Here is a 22947-nt window from a genome sequence, read left to right as displayed (position 1 = left end):
GAAAAGATCGTATTGAAAGTGCAATTTGAACAAGGTAAGTGGAATTATAGAAAATAGAAAGACAGACCCTGGAGGTGTGAACACTGCAGTCATTGGTGGTGGTGGGACGGACTGCAGTCGTTGGTGGCGGTGGGGCGGACTGCAGTCGTTGGTGGTGGTGGGGCGGACTGCAGTCGTTGGTGGTGGGGCGGACTGCAGTCGTTGGTGGCGGTGGGGCGGACTGCAGTCGTTGGTGGTAGTGGGGCGGACTGCAGTCATTGTGGAGGGGGTGGGTCATAGACCTGCAGCCAGAGGATTTCCAGGACAGCAAAGCCACTCACGGGGACAAAAATGATGAAAATGTCTCCAAGGAAGTGGCGCAGGCAAACATGTCACATCAAAGGATCTCTTGGAGTAATTTCATGCCTTTGAAAGCAAAGGACAAAAGTTGGGAGCTGATCAAACCCAAAAGTTCAAGAGGCCTATTGTATAACATGGTGACTACAGCTAATAACAGTGCACTATGTTCCTGAAAATCACTAAGAGTACATTTGAAATTTCTCACCACAAAAAATCAACTATGTGGGTTGAGGCAAATGTTAATGAGCTCAATTTAGCTATTCCATGGCGTATACATATTTTAAATAATCATTTTTACTCCATATGTACTATTTTTATTTGTTAACTTAAAATTTTTTATATAAAGAATTAAAAGCATTCTGCTGAAAGAGAGAAGCCAGGGGTGACGTACTGCATGGTTCTGTTTTTACGACATTCTGGGAAGGTTAAAACTGTGGGACCTGAGCACGGGTCAGTGGTACCAGGACTGGGCTGGAGATTGGACAGCAAAGGGGAATTGTTTGGGTGGTGGCGCTGTTCTGCATCCTGGTTTTGCTGGTAGTTATGCCCATCTATACATGTGTTAAAACTCACAGAATAATACTCCAAAATGTTAATATCATGAACTGTTAATTTAAAAAAGAGTTGAAATTTATTTCTACTCTGTTCCATTCACTGGGTGACTCTGGACAGAAAAAGGCTTGGGAAAAAGGAGATAGAATATTATATGATTTAACTTCATATCATGTGACTCAATTGTGAATAACATTTACTTGTAATAATTTATCGTAATGATACAAGCACTGAAAATGTATCCATCTAAAATTAGATTGTAAGTCTAATTAGAGGCAGAGGTGGTGGGAAACTTTATGGACGGAGAATTCTGAATGAAAACAAAACCTTGTACCCCAGAAGGGGAAGGAATAGCAACGCCCAAACATGAGGGTCAGGATGGAGCCCTACAGCAAGGTCAGGTGGAGACCAGAGGGGAACGAGATGATCAGGCGAAGGGGCAGAAAGTCCCACCCTAGGCAGTGGAAAATGGCAGCAGAATGGGGCCGGCCCTGCTGTTTCATGACAATCCCTGCCCAAGTAGTTTACAATTATCTGCGTGTTAATAAATACGAAGTTGTGTTTAAAAATTAAAAGAACCACACGCCATGTGGCATATGATAAAGATAAATTAAATATGATCACACCAAAACAAAACTCATGGTTATATTTGGCAAGTGAATTATGTAATATGATATTTTTATGTCTTTTACTATTTTATAATATTTAATCTTCAAATAATTTGTATCATTTAATTTTTATAAGTACAATTTATTTATAAGATAAACTTTTGGTGTGTGTCTGGGATATCAATAGAGTACATTTATTTATAAGATAAATAAATGTACTTATAAAAATTTGTATTTATAACAAAGATATATTTATAAGATAAATGTACTTATACAAATTTATATTTCTAAGATAAATAAATCTACTTATAAAAATTAAATTATATCAATTAAAGATTAAACACACAAAATGCATAACAATTAAATCATATAAGGAGAAAAAACATTGTACTTAAGGAGAAATAACATCTTTTAAAGTTTATGGATTGGGAGGGGTCATTTCGTATCTAGCGATCGTTCAATGTGTTACTATCATTTTATCTCTTAAGTCAGAAATAGCAATACCTGAATCACTGATATCTCCCTTCCAGGGAAGTCCTGAGTGTTCCTAAATGATCTTTCCAAACTGGGCAAGGTCCAGCCTTTCATTTGCATATGTATAAGCTGGTTTCTACATAATCAGTGTGCCTGTTCGTATGTTAGTGTATAATTAAAGTGCCTTTTAAGTTACTCAACTACATATATTTTAGTGTTTAAGTATAAACCATGGAACTAAATAATGAGCCAGAACATGAAAAAAAAATTATGAAGTATTCTTGATACAACTCTACTCCTATTTTTGTAAAAGTAAATTGATTCAATTTAAAGAATGCATTTTTTTCACAAATGTTTTATTTTCAGTATCAAATTGTTGGCAGCTGATTGGTTTTTGTAATATTACACTCTGGAAGAGTGAAACCATACAATTTTGAAAATACTTTGTATGCAAATGTGTATTAAAAATCAAAAATCAAAAAAAAGTATGTGCTATAAACTAGCTAAACAGAATTTTCACTTGGAAAATTGCCTGTTTTGTTTCTAATTTGTGTATAACACACCAAGTCAAGTTGAATAGTAAGAAATTTCAGATGTCTTGTATAACCACAACTGTAAAGTGCATTCATTTTGTACTTTCTGTCCACAGACATCAAACGGTACATTTGTTAAGTCCCTCAACTTGTCTGCTTCAATTTTGAAGGTGTTTGGAAAAAAACAAACAAAAATAGAGTTTTGATACCCCAGACACACACCAGAAGTTTTAGAATAAATATATTTTCCACTGTAAAATGTGTCAGAATCTCTTTATAAGACCAGGATCTGAGGACAGAAGTGGCAGCCTTGCAGAGTGTCTTCCAGGTTAACTTTACTAGAGTGTTGGACACACGGGCAGAGATGGAATTCACTCGGAGGACAGGAACCAAGCTTTCCAGAAACCAGGTGCTCTGATATGAGGACTTCAAGCTAACCATGGAGTGGGAGAGAAAAATACCAGTAAATCACTAACCTGCTGACTACAGAGGAGAACGAGATTGATTTGGGAAGAGCAATAAACCCAAGTCCCAGATCACTGCCCTCTTCACACTGCTAACAAATCCACAAGGAAAGGACTGACAATGGATTGGAAAATAACAAAACACACTAACCAGAAAAGCAACCTGCTCTTTTACTTGTGATTTTTTTTTTGTATGTGCCAAATTTACCAAAGTGATCCTTTGAGGATAAAAATCGATAGCGACCTTCATTTCTTAGCCCAGCTCAAAGATTACCTGCATTTGCTATCAAGAACCTGGTGGTTATTGATAACCTTCATTTCTTAGCCCAGCTCAAAGATTACCTGCGTTTGCTATCAATAACCTGGAGGTTATTGATATGGTTTGGCTGTGTCCCCACCCAAATTTCATCTTGAATTGTAGCTCCCATAATTCCCATGGTGTTGGGAGGGACCCAGTGGGAGATAACTGAATCATGGGAGCAGTTTCACCCATACTGTTCTCATGGCAGTGATTGAGTCTCACTAGATCTGATAGTTTTACGAGGGGTTTCCCCTTTTGCTTGGCTCTCATTTTCTGTCCTGCCTGCTGCCATGTAAGACACACCTTTCGTCTTCTGCCATGATTGTGAGGCCTCCCCAGTCACGTGGAACTATGAGTCCATTAAATCTCTTTTTCCTTATAAATTACCCTGTCTCTGGTATGTCTTTATCAGCAGCGTGAACATGGACTAATACAGTTATCAATGTACAAAGTCACCATGGAAGTCTCTAGAAGCTGGATGATTGATTAAAAACAAACAAACAGTAAAGAGTGTTAATGAAAGGGGATCTCCATAGTGCAGAAGAGAGTGTGCTGGGGAGAGAGAGGGAAGAGCTGAATCCCATGAGGTGTGTGCAATGCCCCTACCTGCAAGGGTCTGAGGAGTCCAGGAAAAGGGTGATTACTTGTCCTCTCTCGTCACAAAGGAAGCTGGCTGATATGAATGTGTGGGTGGACAGCCCATGGGTAGATCAACGGGGATAAAGTACGAAGTGAATACAATGAACGGGGCCCATGTCCTCCATCCACGGCTGGTAAATTGCACAGGGCTGTGTCTGTATGTTGCTGTTATTGACATAGCTACTCCAGGCTGTGGCAAGATTATTCCACATATCCCCAAGAGGCTGGGAAAAGCGATGCAAAATGCAAGCCCCATCACAGGCTCATGGGTGCCTGGAGAGAGGCTGTGCCCTCACCAGAGTTCTCGGGATTATTTCATGAGCTTAGCAACAGCCAGACCAGACCTGTCTTCTGACCGGAACAAAAGAAGAAGAAACACTGAACTTCTGTAAGGAAGGGAGGAGACTCACATTCATGAAGACTCTGCCACCAGCCACACACTGCACCTGCCGCCCTTTCAAATTGCACTTGTGACTTCTCTGTTTTGCAAATGAAACAAAGCTTGACTATGGTAAAGAAATTGAGCCAAGATTGTGTAGTTAGTAATTCATGGTAACCTGATTCATCCCTATGTCTGTGCTTCCAAGGTTCTTCTGAGGCTGATCACACAGGGATATGAGAGCCTGGGAGCTCTTCGCACCTCATGGCGGGGCACAGCCGGAGTCAGGGCAGCTGAGATGCCCAAAACATGCAAGCTTGCTGCCAGCGGCACTGGACTGGCCATAGTAGTCACGGGGCTATGTCACCCAGAGGTGAGAGAGAGCAGGGGCCTGGCAGGCACTCAGGTGCAGCAGTGCCCTCGCCACCCCCAGCCCTGTGTTCCACACCCTGCTCTAGGCTTTTCCCTCTTGTGTCATGCTGTGCGAGGTTGTTCCAGGAACCGCAGGCACTCAGGTACATCAGTGTCAGTGCTGAGCGCCTCAGGGCCTTCTTTTCCAGGATCAGAACCTGCCAGAAGCAATTCCACCGTGCTGTTCAGTCCACAGGAAATGTTGTTGGAGCTGGAAACTTCTACTGTGGTTCGCACTGTGTGACTGTACCAATATCCATTCTAATATTGTGAATGATGACACAACAGTTAACCCCAAAGAGTCATGGGATCATTCCTTGGGAATGAAAGGGCCTTAATACAGCTGGACTGCTGTCTCCCCTGTGGTATTAGGATTTCTCCTTCACTCGGGGGCTGCTGGAGTCAGGGTAGGGGGCTGAGGGTGATCAGAGAGAGGGAATCTGGACTTTTATGCTTAGTCTATTTCACGACAGCACTTCTGCTGTTCTCTCTCTAGTCACCTGCATTGTTGGTGTTATTTAGCTTAAAGAAATGACTTGGTGACTGCTATGATTGGCGTGCATCCCCCTGAAATTCATGTATTGAAATGGAATCTACAGTGTGATAGCCCTAACAGGTGGGGCCTTTAGGAAGTGAGTCATGAGGGCAAAGCCCAGGAATAAGATTAGTGACCATTTGCAGCTCAAAGAGAGTACCGTGGTGGGCCCGGGCCCCTCCTGCCATGTGAGAACACAGCAGAGATGCTATCTAGGAAGCAGCAAGCAGCATCTGCTGGACCCTCAGTCTTGGACTTTCCAACCCTCAGAACTGTGGGAAATAAATTTCTATTATTTCTAAATTACCCAGTCTAAGGTTTTACATTATAGAGTTATAAACAAACTAAGACAATGGCCAAATTCAAGGGGAAAAGCAGCTGGGAGGACGGGGGCACAAGCCTGACTATGAGACAGAAAAAGAAGCAACTGCGCGCACGCACGCGCTGTTCCTCACGCCGAGTCTCTGTGCTGCTTGGGGGCTTCTGCTCTCCCACTCACTTTAAGCATTTCCACGTCTGGAATCTTGGGGTGGCCCCCATCTCCCCCGGTGACGGTCCACAGGCCTGAGGGGCGGGTGTCGGAGAGGACTTGGTGTGGACCCCGTCTCCCCCAGTGGGGGCATTGCAACCTTAGTTCTGCGGGATGCCACGTCCTGTTGGGAAGGGAAAACATTTGTCCCACAGTGAGCAGGTCTATGCAAACCTACCCACAAAGTTCCAGAAAGCTGAGAGGCCTGTGAAGAGGCTGACAAATCCAGTTCCTCAGAAACATTTGGTGGGGCCAGCAAAGAGGCTGACAAATCCAGTTTCTCAGAAATATTTGGTGGGGCTAACGAGCAGAAGGCATGTCTCAGGCAGCCTCAAGATAGTGGATCCTTCTGCTGACACCCCCGAGACCCAGGGCACAAAGGGCACGCCTGCTTCAGAAGGATTTGTCCAAGGGCAGAATTTCTGATGAGCAGTAAAGTAGAAACCTTGGAGGCCTTCCCAGAACTGGAGTTAATCAGAGGTGCACATGGGGGCGAGCATCCAGGATGGAGCTGCCTCAGTCTGCGCTGACTTCCACCTGGGGATAAGGAAGGGTCCTGGTGGCCTGCCCCTGCTCCCTGCTGGCCCTCATGCTGGCAGCAGCTGTCCTGTGTACCGTGCACCTCACTGCCGCAGAGTAGAAACATCTTCAGGAGGGTCTGCTCCACCAGGAAAATCAAACGCGACGTCGCAGGGGGACAGCCTGCTGCTGCACGCTGGAACAGAGGGCTCTGTGTGTGAGTGTATGTGTGTGTGAGAGTGTGTGAGTGTGTCTGGGAGTCTGAGTGTGAGTGTATGTGTATGTGTATGTGAGATTGTGTGAGTGTGGGAATGTATGTGTGAGAGTATGTGTGTGAGTGAACATGAGTGTGAGAGTGTGTGTGAGCGTGTGTGACTGTGGAGTGTGAGTGTATGTGGGAGAGTGTGTGTGTGAGTGTGGATGTTTGCATGTGTGTATGTGTCTGCCTGTGTGTGGATTGTGAGTGCCTGTGTGTGTATTGTGTGTGAGTGTGCATGTGTATGAGTGTGTGGGACAGTGTGTGTGTGTGTGAGTGAGCATGAGTGTGTGTATCTGAGAGAGTGTGTATGTCAGTGGTGTATGTGGGTGAGCGTGAGTGTGTGTGAGAGAGTGTGTGTGAGAGCATGTGTGTGTGTGAGTGGTGTATGTGAGTCAGGGTGAGTATGAGTGTATGTGAGTGTGGGTGTGACGTACATGGAGATACATCCTCTCTGTACCACACGGGCACCTGTTGGTGCTTCCATTTCCCATGGCGAGGGTGGATGGCCATTGCTGCTACTGCCGCCTGACACGGGAAAGGCCGCCTGTGTTGGACCCCTCAGAGAAGGAAGGCCGGAGCCCCCGGGATGGAGCTCTGGGACAGCTCAGTGCTGCTGGAGGGTGAGGCGGTCTAGAGTGGATGAAGGAGGGAGGAGGACGGGTCCAGGGACTGGGGCTGGGAAGGCACGAGTTCCACGGGGCCCCCTGCAGAGACACCCAAAAGAGCAGAAGCTGGCAAGACCCAAGTGGGCAGGGGAGACCGGGTACTGGACACAGGGCAGGCTCGGTGCTGGCTGGGGTAAGAAGGACATCTGGAGGCCGAATCCCTTCTTTGGAAACCTCAGCTTTGTCCACATCGCGGAGGGAAATCTGCCTCATTCGAAATGCACTGATGTGAATTTAGACCTCATCTAAAGAATACCTTCCCCGACATCCACACTGGCATCAAACCAAACATCTGGGCACCAGGGCCAGGTTGATTCATAAAAGCCCTTCACCCACTTGCCCGGTCCTGTGCCGAGACCAGACTCCGGCCCACCAAGCTGGCTCTCCTCCGTCTGCGCTCCCACTGCCGTCTGTTCCCCACTTGAAATCAGCGGGGCTTGCTGAGAATTCATGGGTCACGTCCGCACCCTGTTTATAAGCCTCCCATGGCTCCCTTTCCAAGCCTAGCCCCACACCCACAGCCCTCAGATCTGCACATGGACTTTTTCAGGGGGGTCTCAGCACCCTGGGCCTTCCAGCCAGGCTCAACTGAAGTTGCAGGTGCCGCCCTCCATCCTCCGCCCTTTCAGGGCCCTTCCCTCCAGCAGCTCCCCTGCTTGTCTACCCACATCCAAGCCAGCCCTGACCCCAGGAGCGCATGCTTCTGAGTGTGCACGCATGCACACGTTCACGGAGACCTCTCTTGGCAAGCTCTGGCGTATCCTATTCTCCAGAGTTCAGAGCAGCCCCTGCTCCCTCCAGAAGATCTTGCTGGGCTCTACGCAGGTGTCATGTGCCCATCAGGCGGGCATCATGTTATATTTAACTTTTTACTTGCTTGCGTCTGTACAAGCTTGAAAAGGACCACTTGCTATTTTCCACTCTCATCCCAGCAAAAGCATAATGCCTGGCACAGGGTAGATACTCAATAAATTGTTCTGAGTAATGAATGGAGTAGAGCTGTCTCAAAACCTCCAGTCGGGATTCTAGTGTCTCCTTAGACAAGCGCATCTCACGGATGTTTTCCCCTAAATGCCTTATCACTGTAAACAGCAATCAATGATAATGCTGACGGAAAAAAATGGGGCAGCTTTCAAATTACTGGATTTGGGAAAAATATAATAGCCCTGGTCCTTTTTAGGTAAAATACGTGTGCTATTGTATCAGTTTCCTAGGACTGCTGTACCACAAACCGGGTGGCTTAAAACAATGGAATTTTTTCTTTCACAGTTCTGGCGGCCAGAAGTCCAAAATCAAGGTGTGGATGGTGCCACGCTCTCTCCAAAGGCTGACGGGGAAGATCCTTTCCTAGGAGTAGTTGATGGCAAATCTCCACATTTCTTGGCTTGTACACACATCACACACCATTTTTGCCTCTGTCTCATGTGGCCTCCCCCTCGTGCCTCCTCCATGTCTCCCTGCCCCAAAATCCCTCTCATTTTTCTTATAAGGACACAGGTCCGGTGGACCCTCATCTAAACTGGATCGCTGTATTAGTCCATTTTCACACTATTGTAAAGAATTTCCTGAGGGTGGGTCATTTATAAAGAAAAGAAGTTCAGTAGACTCACAGTTCTGCAAGGCTGGGGAGGCCTCAGGGAACTTACAATTATGGCAGAAGGGAAAGCAAATATGTCCTTCTTCACAAAGCAACAGGAGAGAAATAGCAGAGCAAAGGGGAAAAAGCCCCCTATAAAACCATCAGGTCTCATGAGAACTCACTCACCCATGATCCCATCACCCCCCAGGAGGTCTCTTCCCCAGTCACAACTAGGTTACAATTCGAGATGAGATTTGGGTGGGGACACAGAGCTAGACTGTATCAATCACATTTGCGAAGATCCTACAGGTGTATCTCGTTTTGTTGTGCTTTTCTGCACTTCACAGATACTGAGTTTTTTTTTTTTTTTTTATTGAAAGTTTGTGGCAACTTTGCATCAAGTAAGTCTCCTGGTGCCATTTTTCCAATGGCACCTGTTCACTTCATGTGTCTGTGTCACATTTCAGTAATTCTCCACATATTTCAAATGCATTCATTCGTGGTACATATGTTATGGTGATCTGCGATTGGTGATCTTTGATGTTACTATTGCAATTATTTGGGGGCACCACAAAGCATGCTCGTATAAGATGGAAAACTTAATCCATAAATCTTTTGTATGTTCTGACTGCTCCACCCACTGGACACTCCCCATCTCCCTCCCTCTCCTCAGTCCTCCTTATTTCCTAAGACACAACATTATTAAAAGTAGGCCAATTAATAACCCTACAATAACAACTAGTGTTCAAGTGAAGGGATGAGTCTCTAACTTTAAAACAAAAGCTAGAGATGAATAAGCTTGAGGAAGGAGGCATGTTGAACACCAAGACAGGCTAAAAGTGAGGCCTTTTGCATCAGTTAGCCAAGCTATGAATACAAAGGAAAAGTTCTTGGGGAAAAAAATCATAAGTACTCCTCCAGTGAACACACAAATAATAGAAAAATGAAGCATCCTTATTGCTGATATGGAGAAGATCTGAGTGATCTAGATGGAGTATCAAACCAACCACAACATTCCCTTAATGCAAAGCCTTTCCCAAGCAAGGTCCTCGTGTTCTTCCATTCCATGAAAGCTGAGAGATGAGGAAGCTGCAGAAGAAAAGCTTGAAGCTAGCAGAGGCTGGTTCATCAGGTTGAAGGAAAGAAGCCATCTCCACACCACAAAAGCACAAGGTGAAGCAGCAGGTGCTGATGGAGAAGTTGCAGCAAGTTCTCCAGGAGATCTAGCTAAGATCATTGATGAAGGTGGCTATGCTAAACAAAATACTTTCAATGGAGAAATAAAAAAGACCCTTCTATTTGAAGAAGATCCTATCTAGGGCTTTCACAGCTAGAAAGGAGAAGTCAATGTCTGGCTTCAAAGAGTCAAAGGACAGGCTGACTCTTATTAGAGGCTAATGCAGCTGATGACTTTCAATTGAAATCAATGCTCATTTATCATTTCAAAACTCCTAGGGCTCTTAGGAATGATGCTAAATCTACTCTGCCTGTGCTCTGTAAGTAGAACAACGAAGTCCATATGACAGCACATATGTTTATAGCATGGTTTACTGAAGATTTTAAGCCCACTGTTGAGACCTTCTGCTCAGAAAAAAAGTTTCCTTTCAATCTATTCCTGCTCATGGACAATGCACCTGGTCACCCGAGAGCTGTGACGGAGATACATGAAGAGATGAATGCTGTTTTCATGCCTGCTGACACAACATCCTTTCTGCAGCCTAGAGAACAAAAAGTAATTTTGACCTTTGTATGTTATTATTCAATAAATATATTTTGCAAGGGCTATAGCTGCCATATATAGTGATTTCTCTGATGGATCTGGGAAAATTACATTGAAAACCTTCCAGAAAGTATTCATTATTCTAGATAACATTAAGGACATTCCTGATTCATGGGAGGAGGTCAAAATATCAACATTAACAGGAGTTTGGAAGAAGCTGATTCCAGCCTTCATGGATGATGTTGAGGGTCTCAAGACTTCAGTGGAGGAAGTAACTGCAGATGTGGTGGAAATAGCAAGAGATCTGGAGTTAGAAGTGGAGCCCGAAGATGGGACTGATTCGCTACCATCTCATGAGAAGATTTACAGATGAGGAGCTGCTTCTTACGGATGAGCAAAGAAAGTAGTTTCTGGAGATGAAGTCCCCTCCTGTTGAAGATGCTATAAACATCATTGAAATGACAACAAAGGCTTTATAATATTCCATAAATTTAGTGGATAGAGCAGTGGCAGAGTTTGAGAGCATTAACTCCAATTTTGAAAGAAGTTCTACTGTGGGTAAAATGCTAACAAACAGCATCTCATGCTACAGAGAAATCTCCGTGAAAGAAATTGATGTGGCAAACTTCATTGTCTTACTTAAGGAATTGCCACAGCCACGCCAAACTTCAGCAACCACCACCCTGATCCTTCAGCATCAACATCGAGGCAAGACCCTTCAACAGGAAGAAGATGACGACTCACTGAAGGCTCAGAGGATTGGTAGCAAGTTTTAGCAATAAAATATTTTTAAATTAAGGTATGTTAATGTTTAAGGATGTAATACTACTGCAAATGTACTAGATGACAGTATTATGTAACATGATTTTTACAGGCACTTGGAAACCAACAAAATTAGTGTGACTTGGTTTATGATAGTGTTCTGAAACTAAACCCACAGCATCACCGAAGGATGCCTGTATTTCCAAGTAAGGTAACTGGGGTTTGGATTTCAACATATTTTTGAGAGGGGACACAATTAAACCCACAACAAACATTAATACCAAAAAAAGCATTTTTTAATCCCAATGATTACTGTTATTTTCATTTTTTGAAGAGGCTACAGCAGGTCAGGTGTCAACGTTACTGTGAAGCCCTCTGTTACAATACCTTTATTTTCTTTGTCCTTGAAGCCACAAACAGATGTTGAAACTACTGTCTGAAAGATTCTGGAACTACCCTTGGAGAAAGGGCCGAGGACCTTCAGAGCCAAGGTTGCAGACTCAAGGGTGAGCTCTGCTCTCGGCCCCGCGGCGTCCTTAAGGGGTTGCCTTCCGCCACTGCTGCCGTGCCTGGGAGCCACCCCCACCTGCCCCCCTTCTGTACTAAACTGCATCCTGTATCATTTTATCAATATTTGTGGTTCCATATTTCTAGCTGTTAAAAAGGTTAACATCTTTTAGCAGCCGTTTTAGCTCATGCTGCAGCTAGATAATATACTTCATGGCAGCAAAGCACCAAACACATTTCCTGCAACATTAGCTGCACTTATAAGTATAATTGTATGCAGCCTTTTCTTGCTCAACAACATTTTAGAATAATGGAGGAACACATCTATTTACAATGGAGGAAATAACACACAGTATTTAACACTCCTTATGACGCTTATAATTACTCTAGGTGCAAACCCAACAGGCCAGGCCAGGGCCTGGGAACGCTCTCCAGAAACAGAAAAGCATTGCAAGCTGGGACACCATAACCAAGTTGCAGATTTTCAAAAGCGGAGGTTTGTCTAATAAGTGGATGCAGAGCACAGAAATGTTTTTAAACATAATTACTATATGCAGAATGAAAGGCTTCGTACTTCTCACTGGCACCTAATGAGCACAGCCATCAACAGCCTCCGTATTTGCTGCTCTGTGCAGTGGAGCAGGACTGACTGCTGGGCCTGGTGTTTTGTGTCTGAGCTCTCAGTCTATCTCCAATGAAAATACATAATTCCAGGCCACTCTTCCAATACATCACAGTCATTTTCAGCACTTTAGTTGTTTTTCTCTTACAAGATAAAGCATCATTACAGCAGGTTTAAAGAGCACGTTAGTGCCTGCAATCTACCAATGCTTTTCTTTAATATTTCATCATTAAATAGCAAAATAACATGATATGATCCTAATTTAGTGCCAATTACACTGCATTGATCAAAGTGACCTTTTCATACTGGAGCACAAAAATCAATCCTGCTGTACAACAAATGTCAGGGGAGGAGAGCAACATATAATCTGTGACAATCAAAACGTTACTTACAAATGAAATCACCAATGACCCGCACGCCAAGGCAATTTCTGCATGATGGGCGCTGTTTGTGTTTGCGGCTCTAGTTGGGGAATGTTTTGTTGCTGTTCCCGACCATCTGCCCTGATACAGTGGTGATATTTTTTCTGTGCTGGCGATGGTGGGTGCAGTGGTCAGGTCCTGGCAGCTGGTGCGCAGGAGAACCACAGAAAGCCTTCGAGGTTCCTGACTTGATGGGAAACACAAAGGAAGGGCCCCCCTTGCAGATCTGGGCAATGCCAGCGTAGTTCACAGTGTGCGGCATCAACTGATCCTCCAGTGCTAAGCGTTTCCAGGGGAGGGGTGTTTGGGGTTTGGGGTAGCAGAGCCACGTAATAGTTTTCACTGGGAAACCTGCTGATCCCCCAAGAATTCATTCAGACACAGACATTGAGTTTGGTCTAAAAACTCCATCCTGCCACCGAAGATTCCAGTGGACATAACTTGATGGTGTATATTTCCCAGGTATACGCCTGGCTGCACATGGCTCCAGGCTTTCTGCAGGTGCACGATGACACTGTGGAGGGTCTTACCTGCGGTGGGGTGCGGAGAGGCAGCATAGAAACAGTGGGCAGCTGGAAGAGGCCTTGTGTCCACACGCTGGCTCCACCCCTGACTGCTCCTGTGACACTGGGTGAGCCCCTTCACTCCCCTGGTTCTTATTTCTGCAAGAGTCAAATGCAGAAAGGTTTCTCATCTTCCTCATAAGGACTGCCCTAGGAGTTAAAGGACTTAACTACCTTTAGAGTGTTTCAAAGAATGCTGGGCATATTACAGGGCCATAGTAGGTGTTAGCTATTACTACAGCAAATGGAAGTCTGGATGGGCAAGGATTAATTCCATCTTTACGTTAGGAAATAATTTTCAAACATATATTTAGCTGAAAGAAAATCACCTTGATTCAACTATATGAGACATGAAATGTTGAGCTAGGTTTGGTGTACAAACTCACATGAAATCATTAACTGCTAAAGTTATGGTCTTCAAATGTTGTATGGATATGCCATAAATCTATTTTCAACAAAAGAGATATGGCTCTTCCTCAATTGTCCAGAAATCACAAACATGGCCAACACGCCCAGTGGATCCAGTGCCATCCTGCGCGCCTGAACTGACAGACGGCTTTCCTGACATCTGAACTGGATGTGTAAATACAACGTAAGGCAAGATAAGAAGTGGAAATCCCCCTTCCTTTGGACAGCCCTGGGCTTGTTCTTCGCTTAAGGATCCTAGAGAGTGGGTGCGGCTGCAGGAAGTGGAGACAAGTAGGCTGGGAGTGTAATTGTCCTGAAAAAGGGATTGAAATAGATATCAGAATTTACAACCATCAAACAAATATCCCGTGTTCCAACACAGGGGTGCGATGACCACACTCAGCAAACCCAACCACTGCAATACAGAGATGCCGGGAGCTTGTCTGTTTCTCTACTGGAAGATGACAGGAGCCGAGGAATCCAGGTTCTATGCTGGGTAAAGCACTCTCGTCAGCGCTACCTAACCCTGCTAAATCAGAAGTCTGCTCCTCCTGGGGTCTTTTAAAGCTGGGACCTGGCAGGTAGACTCTCCCCTCCCCACCAGCGACGCTGCTGCTACCTGCGCACAGAGGGCCAGAACCGGCTCCTGGCTGGAGAATGAGAACATCCTGCCGGTCCCGGCTGAGTGCTCTCCTGCTCTCCACCAGCCAGAGTAAGAACAAAAACATTTTCAAGTGCTGGTTATGAACCTGATCCAGTTTGTTTCACACGGATGCAGAATGAGTTTCCAGCTTAATGTAAAAGAGCTGTGTGGGCAGATTGTTGAGGTGCCTTCCTTATTTTTTTTAACGTTTTCCAATGCAATTTGCAGCTTAACAGCCACACTATAAATGACATGATTAAGTTTTATATATTTCTGTATATTTGATGTATTTACCCCAATGCAGCTGTCGTTGCTTATACTGTTTCAGATGTTTAGAATGGAGTCAATTGTTGGGAGTAATCACACTTTCCAAGAGGAAGCTTTCTTTTTCCAATTTTTTTAAAGTGCTCTCATATAACCGTGAAATAGCCGCCACCTCCAAAAAGAGATTGAGAATTAATACATGACCTTCAACAAAACCAGTTTTCACTCTCATAGAAAATATAAGTGTCTCAAAAGGTAATCACCATCAGGAAATTAGTGTTTTCATAATCTGCTACTTTCTAGCATTCCATTAAATTCAGCATCCAAGGGTCAGGCATGGTGGCACTTTGGGAGGCTAAGGCAGGAGGATCTCTTGAGCCCAGGAGTTTGAGATCAGCCTGGGGAACATAGAGAGACCCCATCTCTACCAAAAATTTATTTATTTATTTATTTATTTATTTATTCACTCATTCAGCATCCATGCCTCTAGGGCTCCCAATGCCATTCTCATTTTCACGACGGCCCAGCATTTTGGCCACTTGGGGAGGAAGGCCTCTTACAAACCACCACAGGGCTTTCTCTGGGTGTCTGAGAAGTTTAGTGGCATATTTTACTCTGTATTCTGCCCTAATTTAAAATAACTATATTAACTAGAAAAGATAATTCCAATTAAAAATAATATTTGTATACACAAAAACATGTAGTCTACTTAATGCTTCTTATCTATCCTTATAATCTTGTAAGAAAATGCAGATGGTTAGTAAAGTATTAATTGTGGAAATGACTGGTCTGTGCAAGACTACCTGTTTAGACAGAGTCTGATCTGGTCAAATGAATGTCTGAGTTCTTTACTTTCACCCGGAGGTTTTCAGTGCATGCAACTTACATTATTGATGTTTATAAGATTGGTTGGTATTTAATGTGGCCAATATTATATTTTAGTGTATTCCCAGATACTTCAGTGTGAGTGGCCATGCTTACAGTTTCAAAGAGTGGGCTAAGAGTAGACATAATAAATCATTTGGTTAAAAAGAAGCACAGGATAAAAACACCGCACATATATAAAGAACGTTCTTGTATTTTTTTTAAAAAAGCAATAATGCAGAGGTAATTTTAGAAGAAATGAGGTTGGATTAAGGGGAAAAGAAAGCAATCAAGAAACAAGTAATAACTGATATTAAAATCTGATTGAAATTTTTTGCAGGCCTGAAAGATTCATTATATTTCCATTTTTAAAATTCCAAATTTCTCTATACAGAGTTAAAAAGTATCTTAATGTATACTCTCTTGAAACAAAATATCACCTCACATACTTAGTTGTTATTTTTCCCTTAATCGAGCCTTTAGATATTCTCTATATTTTTTAAGCATGTCAGATTGATTAACTGTACTAATTATCCAGTAAGAAGCTTGTGTCCTTTTTATATTATATTATCATCCCATCACATGCTTTAATAAGTTACTTTGAAATCCATATATATATATATAAATTTGATAGTTTTTAGCAGTACTGAATTTCCTCTAAAGTTAGTTAAGTGTTAATTTTTGATTTTCTTTAAATGAATTTATTTTGTAACCACGTAAATACTGTCTAGGAAATACTTTTCTTCGTTATATTCATCCTATGTTTGATGTTCTCTCGCAGGCAACCACACAACATTCCTAAATTTAATTGCCATACTCTGTATCAAACTGATCATTGTACAAGTAATAAATCACGCCCTATTAAAGCAACCAAATTTTCTGGACCTTAAGATCAGAAAATTATTAGCCTAATTCTTTACAAATTGCACAGAAGATAATATCTGATAATCCATTAAGCAAAACTTAATCAATGTCTTCCATCATAATGCAAAATGCACTGATAAGAATTCAAGCCCCATTGATTAAAGGTATCATGTAAAAGCCTCTATACATTTCAGGTTACTTGAAGTGAATATCTTGCTAATGTAACAAGCCAATAAATTAGATTATCCATATACCATTTTAAAATAGATTAATATTATAATAAAACAAAATATAGTATAAAACCTAACCTAAGAAAATATAATTAATATTAGGTTAACAATAATATTTCAGTAGGAAGAATGATTAGACATACTCTCCTGGTTCTAGAAAAGTGTTCGGCTTTAAGTTACAGCAGGCAGTCCAAACTCTTTGTAGCATTTATTTAGGCTACCTGTGAAGTGAAATTACAATAGGAATATACATATTTGCATTATCTCGGAGCCTCTGTCTGGCCTTAAATACACTAAATAATGTGGCATGAAATTAAATGATTTTGACAATACCTTTTAAGACCTTGTCTTGAATTTTTTAATGACATATTACAACATGCAATTTTATTTCAAATTCAGCGAGCTTTTTTCCTCTAGATTACTTGATTTTTAAGCGCAAAATGTTGTCTCTTTACATCTGTGATACGTATTCCTCACAATATTATCCAAAGCAATTTGTCTGACCTAGCTTTAGCTTCTTTCTTCCGAACTCTAAATACATATGCTGATATATGTGTGTAACTTTTCATATACATATGTATTTTTATAAAATTGTGCAATTTATATATAGCATAGTGATTTCCAAACTATTTACATTACACTTACTCTGAGGGTTTCAGAAATTGGTTTAAGAAAGAAACATTCATTTACACATACCCAAATTATGCAAAAACAATGTGTATGGGCGGGCGTGTTTATTACAGATGTGTACGTAATTGCTGTATTAAGTGGAGTTGGGTTTGCTAGCCTACTTCCTTCCCCTCCATTAAAAGTTACATTTCCTTTATTTACAAAAATACAAATACCTTTCCGATTATCAGAAATCATTGATTACAATTTTACAGATGCAATTTTCCTTTGAATAATAAAGTACTGGAATATTAAAATAATATTCTGATTAACATAAATAGTAATTAGGGTTTTTATATAGTGGGACACTAAAATTAGGCAAATTAGTATCTGTCAAGAGAAACTTTTTCAGACTTGTGGTAAATGCGATGCCAGTGAATGGTGTGAAATGAAGCGATTTGCCCCCTTAAGAAGAACCAGTGGAGTTTAAATAGTCCTCTTTTGCTGTGGTAAAAAGGTCTTCTAATCTGAACAGACAAAGCGATTTTAGTAGTTCTATTTGTTTAAGAAAATAGGTCTAAATTGATGAAACTAATCATTTTACACTAAGTGCTCTTTTTAAAGACAATTGCTGATTGCATGCCCCTTTTGTAGCTGTAGCTGAGCCCGAGATGGTGCAAAATCACCATCTCGCCAGTTGTCACAACTATTTGCTCATTCTTTAATTAAACATAATATAGGAAACAGTATAATTCACGTCTAATTAGAAATCAACTTCTTTAGGCTGTGAACTCTTTCCAAAACTGTCAGGGATCATCGTTTAATGATTGTCATATCTACCAAGGTTGGGTATTTTTGCCTGCTTTAATTTCATACCTAAAATTACTGTAGGTATAAGTTGATTTTTTTAAAAAAAGAAATTCTTTTGAGCTGTACAGCACTCCTTTACCAGCGGTAATGACGATGATGTTAGTGGCGGGAACGGCTTCATCCCGGCTGATGTCATTAGAGTGACTCCGAGCAGGAGTGTGCATCTCCTTTGTACCAGAATTAAAATGGGTTTTTCCACTTAACGGAACAGAGAATGAATAGGCAAATACACTGAAATCACAACAACCTGGCACTTTTAAACTTCATCAAATCATCAAGAAGCCTTCTAAGTGATTTGCAAGTACATTTATTACATATTTGTCAAGTCATTTTATATAGCTGTTCTTTTATAGTGGAAACATTCGAAAAAAAATGTTTTGGAGCGATGTGTCTCTTATTTATTCCACAGTCTTGGGAGGAAGGCTATTGTCCCCTCACCTTCGAGATGAAGAAAATGGAAACAAAAATAAGGTAGATTTTCTGGTTCCAAATGAGTAGCAGAAGGAAGTCAGCGATTCATGTGTTCAGCAAGCATGCATGGAGTGCCAGTAAACACAGGGAGTACCAGGTCTTGGGGATGGAAATCCAAGGGTCATACTCTCAAGGAGCTTCCGGTTTCAGCGGCAAAAGGGACAAATGAAACACTGGCCAGGCCGCCCCTTGCCAAGCACCACAGGAGCCACATGCCACCAGGGTACCATGCCCAGACTCTTTACCCACGGAGCATGGGGGCTGCGCCTCCACGGAAGGCTTTTTGAAGGATGCTAACCATAATCTGAGATTTGTAGGACAGGCAGGATTTAGAGAAAGCCTTTGCAGGGAGGTGAATGGGGAAGGGAACAGAGAGGAGAGACGTGTCTCCACAGCCCTGCTCGGGGAGTGAGCCGTGTGGGTAATTACCCTTTAATGCTGGTTTGTGTCCCTGTTATTGTGTCACTACTGGATATCTGGCAAAGGCGGGGAAGAATGCATTAAGCCGGAGAAAAACACAGATTATGAAACAGGCCTAGAAAACAAATGAAGTTAGGGACATTTGTGTGGGGGTTGGTTTGGCCAGCAAAAGGCAGCCAGGTCTCGATTTAGGGGTTTCTTCTCACCCCGACCCTATCCCCTGGCAGCAAGACTCATGGAGTCTGAGGAATCTTGATGCCAGTTGCTGCTGGGGCGTCTTTCGGCTGCGGCCCTGCCGTGTGCAGCTCCTGCTTGTTGTATCTTCTTCTCAGTTATCCTTTCCCTACACGCCCCGTTGTCTCCATTTGTGATGCTAGTGATGACACAGCTAAGATCCTTTCACTTTCTAAGCATTGGACTCAAAAGCAGAGGAGCCGCATAAATGCAATCACTTAATTAATTATGCCACCGACTTGCACTTCCACCCTCACCTAAATGTTTCCGCAGTTCAAACCCGAGTCTTTTGGGGAGTACCAGGACAAAGCGGGCAGTGGCCGCATGGTCATAGCATCGCATTAGCAGGGGAGGCTTATGGAGAACAGGCCAGCACCAAGACCTGTCCCTGCAACTGATGGATAGGGAAGGCGCCCACTGAGGGCACGAGGGGAGAGGCGTGGGCTCCCAGGGCTGGGGACTTCCTGCAGGAGAGAGGCGGGTGTGGTGCATGGACCCTTCAGCATCAAGAGCCAACGCCAGAGCAGAAAAGCAGGAGGGAGGGTGGCCGCCCACGCTCTTCATCTAAACAGATCCCTCTAGAGTGTTCAGGGGACTTTCTGTCTATTTCTTGGAGCAAAGAAATAGCCGCCTGATGACAGATAGGCGAGCTTGTTTGCAGTTGGTGAGATGGGCCCTGCTTATGTCTGGAGAGCCACTTAGCGGTCTATTCAAAACCAACCCAAGCGTCAACAAGTTCTGGAAGAGAGCAATTAGTAATGCAAATGTCGAGTTATCTCTGGCTTGGGTTACAGAAATCGGCAAGCAAGGGGATGTTTGTGTGGTTCCGTGCTGCTAAGGTACTTTAGGAGGTATCCCAACTCGGAGAGCTTTGTTTTGATGACTTGGAGAAAGATAGTGGAACTAATTCTCACTTGAATGGGTGATTGTTTATTTCTGCTTAGCGTGAATGGAGTTAATTGTTTCCAATGGCCTTTCATGGTGGCGCTGTGTGTGGGGCCATCTGCTGCAGATGGCCCCAGCTCTCCACTTGCGGCTTTTAGTACATGCTGGGTGCACACTTGGGCCCCTCTTCTGATGTGACCATCGACGAGGAAATACCCCATTCATAGGTGAGTGGAAGTTGATGGCTTTCTTTTTCAAATTAGGAAACAGTAAAGTCCCCACCATCAGCCATATGTTTCCACGAAGTAAAACAACAACAAAAAGCTTTTCTGGAGAAAAGCTAAAGTAATTATGAAAGGAACTAGAAGGATTCATTCACTGTTAGGAATGGAATCAGTAGGTTGGGAATTTGGAGAAGGCAATATATAATTATGAATTGCTAAGAGGGAGAAATCACAGTTGAAGGTAAAGTTTGTAAAATATTTTTGCAGCACTTTTAAAAATAATAATTTCACTGTGGCAGCACTTCTTTCTTTAGGGAATAAATACAAACAATTTTAAAGTCTGACATCACTGGAAATGTGTGTGTGCTGCTGGGGACTTCTTGTAGCTTTTGTCTCTTGAAATAATGATCTAATTAACCTGTGCTAGGTTCAGATGTCTTTTGAGAAGAGGGGCAGCCTGGTGTGAAAGCTGTAGACATATTAAGTTCCCAAAGTGCTGGAAACAACCTTGCAGCTTTGCAGATCAGGCCTAGCAGCGGTGCTCCAGCAGGAGGGAAAAGGAGGCCACAGAGGAAGGGGGTTGTGTTTCCCACACAACAGGATGGAACCAGAAGACTTTAGATTTGATTCACGCTGCAGGAATCAGGGGCCAAGGGTGAGAACAGCCAGGTCTGTTTGGGGAGAGACCAGGACACAGGTTAAGAGCTCAGTCCTTTCACAGGGGTCACCCTGCTGAACATGAGGGCTGTTGCTGAAGTCCTGCAAGTCTGAGGTGCTGAGAGAGGGGACAGCCTGCAATGCACCCCCAGGGCATTGGAGGACATGTGTCCAGCAAACTGGGGGCCCTGGACACACCATCATGGTCAACAATGTACCCCCAGTGCATCAGAGGACATATGTCCAGCAAGCTGGGGGCCCTGGACATACCATCATGGTTGGCACTTGTCGGGCAGAGCTCTTACATCTTCACATCTGAACCAGCATATCCCCCACTCTCTACAGTGAGTGGAACTTGTTCAGACTGACTGTCTAGGTTCTTTACTGCCCTTTTGCAGAGGGACCTACCGGGATGCTGACGTGCCCATGTGCTCGAGGCCACCGGTGGTCACTGCTAGAGCCAGAATTTGAACCCATGCTCTCTGTGATGACAGCCCATGTTCCTAACCATTGCACTGTTCCCTGGCAACTTTTCTGCCCACACCTCTTTCTTTTCTCCACTCAGAGAAGGTCACGATGCTTTGATGCTGCTGAGAAGGCATCTCTTTACCAGCCAAATGCCGGCCATAGCTAGGTTCTCCTTCCTTCCTCCTAAACACATCTGGTGTCCTCCCCCGACACACCCTCATCCACACAGGCCCCGTCCAGGCTACTTGGGACCTTCCCAGGCTCCCAGCTTTACTCTCCTGTCTGTGCTCTGTTGCTGCTCAACTTGTCATTCCCGTGCCTGAGGCTTTCAGGGGCTCCCAGGGCTGAAAGCAGAAGTTCTCAGTGTGTTTTGTTTTACACTTCACTGCTGAAACAATTTTATTACATCAGTGTCTTAGTCCACTCTGGTGGCCAAAACAAAATATTATATGGCCTAGGTGGCTTATAAAAAACAGAAATTTACCTCTCAGAGTTCTGGAGGCTGGGAGTTCGAGTCCAGAGTACAGCTGGGCTGGGTTCTGGTGAGGGCTCCCTTCCCGATTCACAGACGGCTGGCTTCTCAATGTGCCTTCTCATGGCAGGTGCCCAAAAAGAGAGGAGAGAGCAGTGGCGTCTCTTCCTCTTTTCATAAGATCTCATCACGGGGGCCTCACATGCATGGCTTCATCTAACCTATGCCCTTCCCAGGAGTCACACCTCCTCTTAAAGTCACATTGGAAAGTTGGGTTTCAATATATGAATTTGGGTGGGAGGAATTCAATCTATAGCAACGTGCATGATTGAGAATATGTGAGCATTTCTCACTCTTCAGACCTACGCTTTTCTATCTGTCCAGCGTTCTCCAGAGAAACAGAACTATAGAGAAGAGAGAGAGAGAGAGAGGGATGAGATTTATTATGAGGAACTGGCTCATGTGATCACGGAGTACAAGAAGTCCCATGACCTGCCATGTGCAAGGGCTGTAAGGCCCTGTCCAACCCCAAAGGCCTGAGAACCAAGGGAACCAATGGTGTAGTTCAGGCCAAGGTCAAAGGCTTAGAACCAGGAACTCCAGCAGCAGAAGATGGATATCCCAGTTCACAGAAAGCGTGAATTCACCTTCCACTGCCTTCTTGCTCTATTTAGGCCTCAACAGACTGAAGAGGTCCCCCATATGGGTGAGAGCTGATGTCTCATTTATTCAGTCTACTGAGTAAAATGAGAATCTCATCTGGAAGCACCCAAAAGGAACACCCAGAAATAATGTTTTACCAGCTTCCTGGGCACCCCTTAGTCTAATCAAGCAGACACATAAAACCAACCATCACACTCAGAATGCTCTCCTCATTTTGCAAATTATCTTTTGTTCTAATACATGTGTTTTCTTTCTTCTGAAACCTCCACAACTTTACCAGTGAGATGTACTTTCCTTTGTAAAAACACCTGCTGTGGCA

At 43.5% G+C, this 22947-nt stretch overlaps 3 annotated features.

The window, feature by feature from the left end:
* Positions 18972-19615: an enhancer, noted in NCBI's record as "H3K4me1 hESC enhancer chr18:75899699-75900342 (GRCh37/hg19 assembly coordinates)". NCBI's record gives its function as "activates a minimal SCP1, AML or CMV promoter by ChIP-STARR-seq in naive H9 embryonic stem cells {active_cell/tissue: H9 hESC(naive)}" and the evidence as "EXISTENCE:reporter gene assay evidence [ECO:0000049][PMID:30033119]".
* Positions 19616-20259: an enhancer, noted in NCBI's record as "OCT4-NANOG-H3K4me1 hESC enhancer chr18:75899055-75899698 (GRCh37/hg19 assembly coordinates)". NCBI's record gives its function as "activates a minimal SCP1, AML or CMV promoter by ChIP-STARR-seq in naive H9 embryonic stem cells {active_cell/tissue: H9 hESC(naive)}" and the evidence as "EXISTENCE:reporter gene assay evidence [ECO:0000049][PMID:30033119]".
* Positions 20260-20903: an enhancer, noted in NCBI's record as "OCT4-NANOG hESC enhancer chr18:75898411-75899054 (GRCh37/hg19 assembly coordinates)". NCBI's record gives its function as "activates a minimal SCP1, AML or CMV promoter by ChIP-STARR-seq in naive H9 embryonic stem cells {active_cell/tissue: H9 hESC(naive)}" and the evidence as "EXISTENCE:reporter gene assay evidence [ECO:0000049][PMID:30033119]".

The sequence above is a fragment of the Homo sapiens genome, chromosome 18 (genome assembly GCF_000001405.40).
Source record: "Homo sapiens chromosome 18, GRCh38.p14 Primary Assembly".
Classification (NCBI taxonomy): Eukaryota; Metazoa; Chordata; class Mammalia; order Primates; family Hominidae; genus Homo; species Homo sapiens.
Note: the sequence above shows the minus strand (reverse complement) of the source record. Positions and strands in the feature narration are given on the sequence as shown.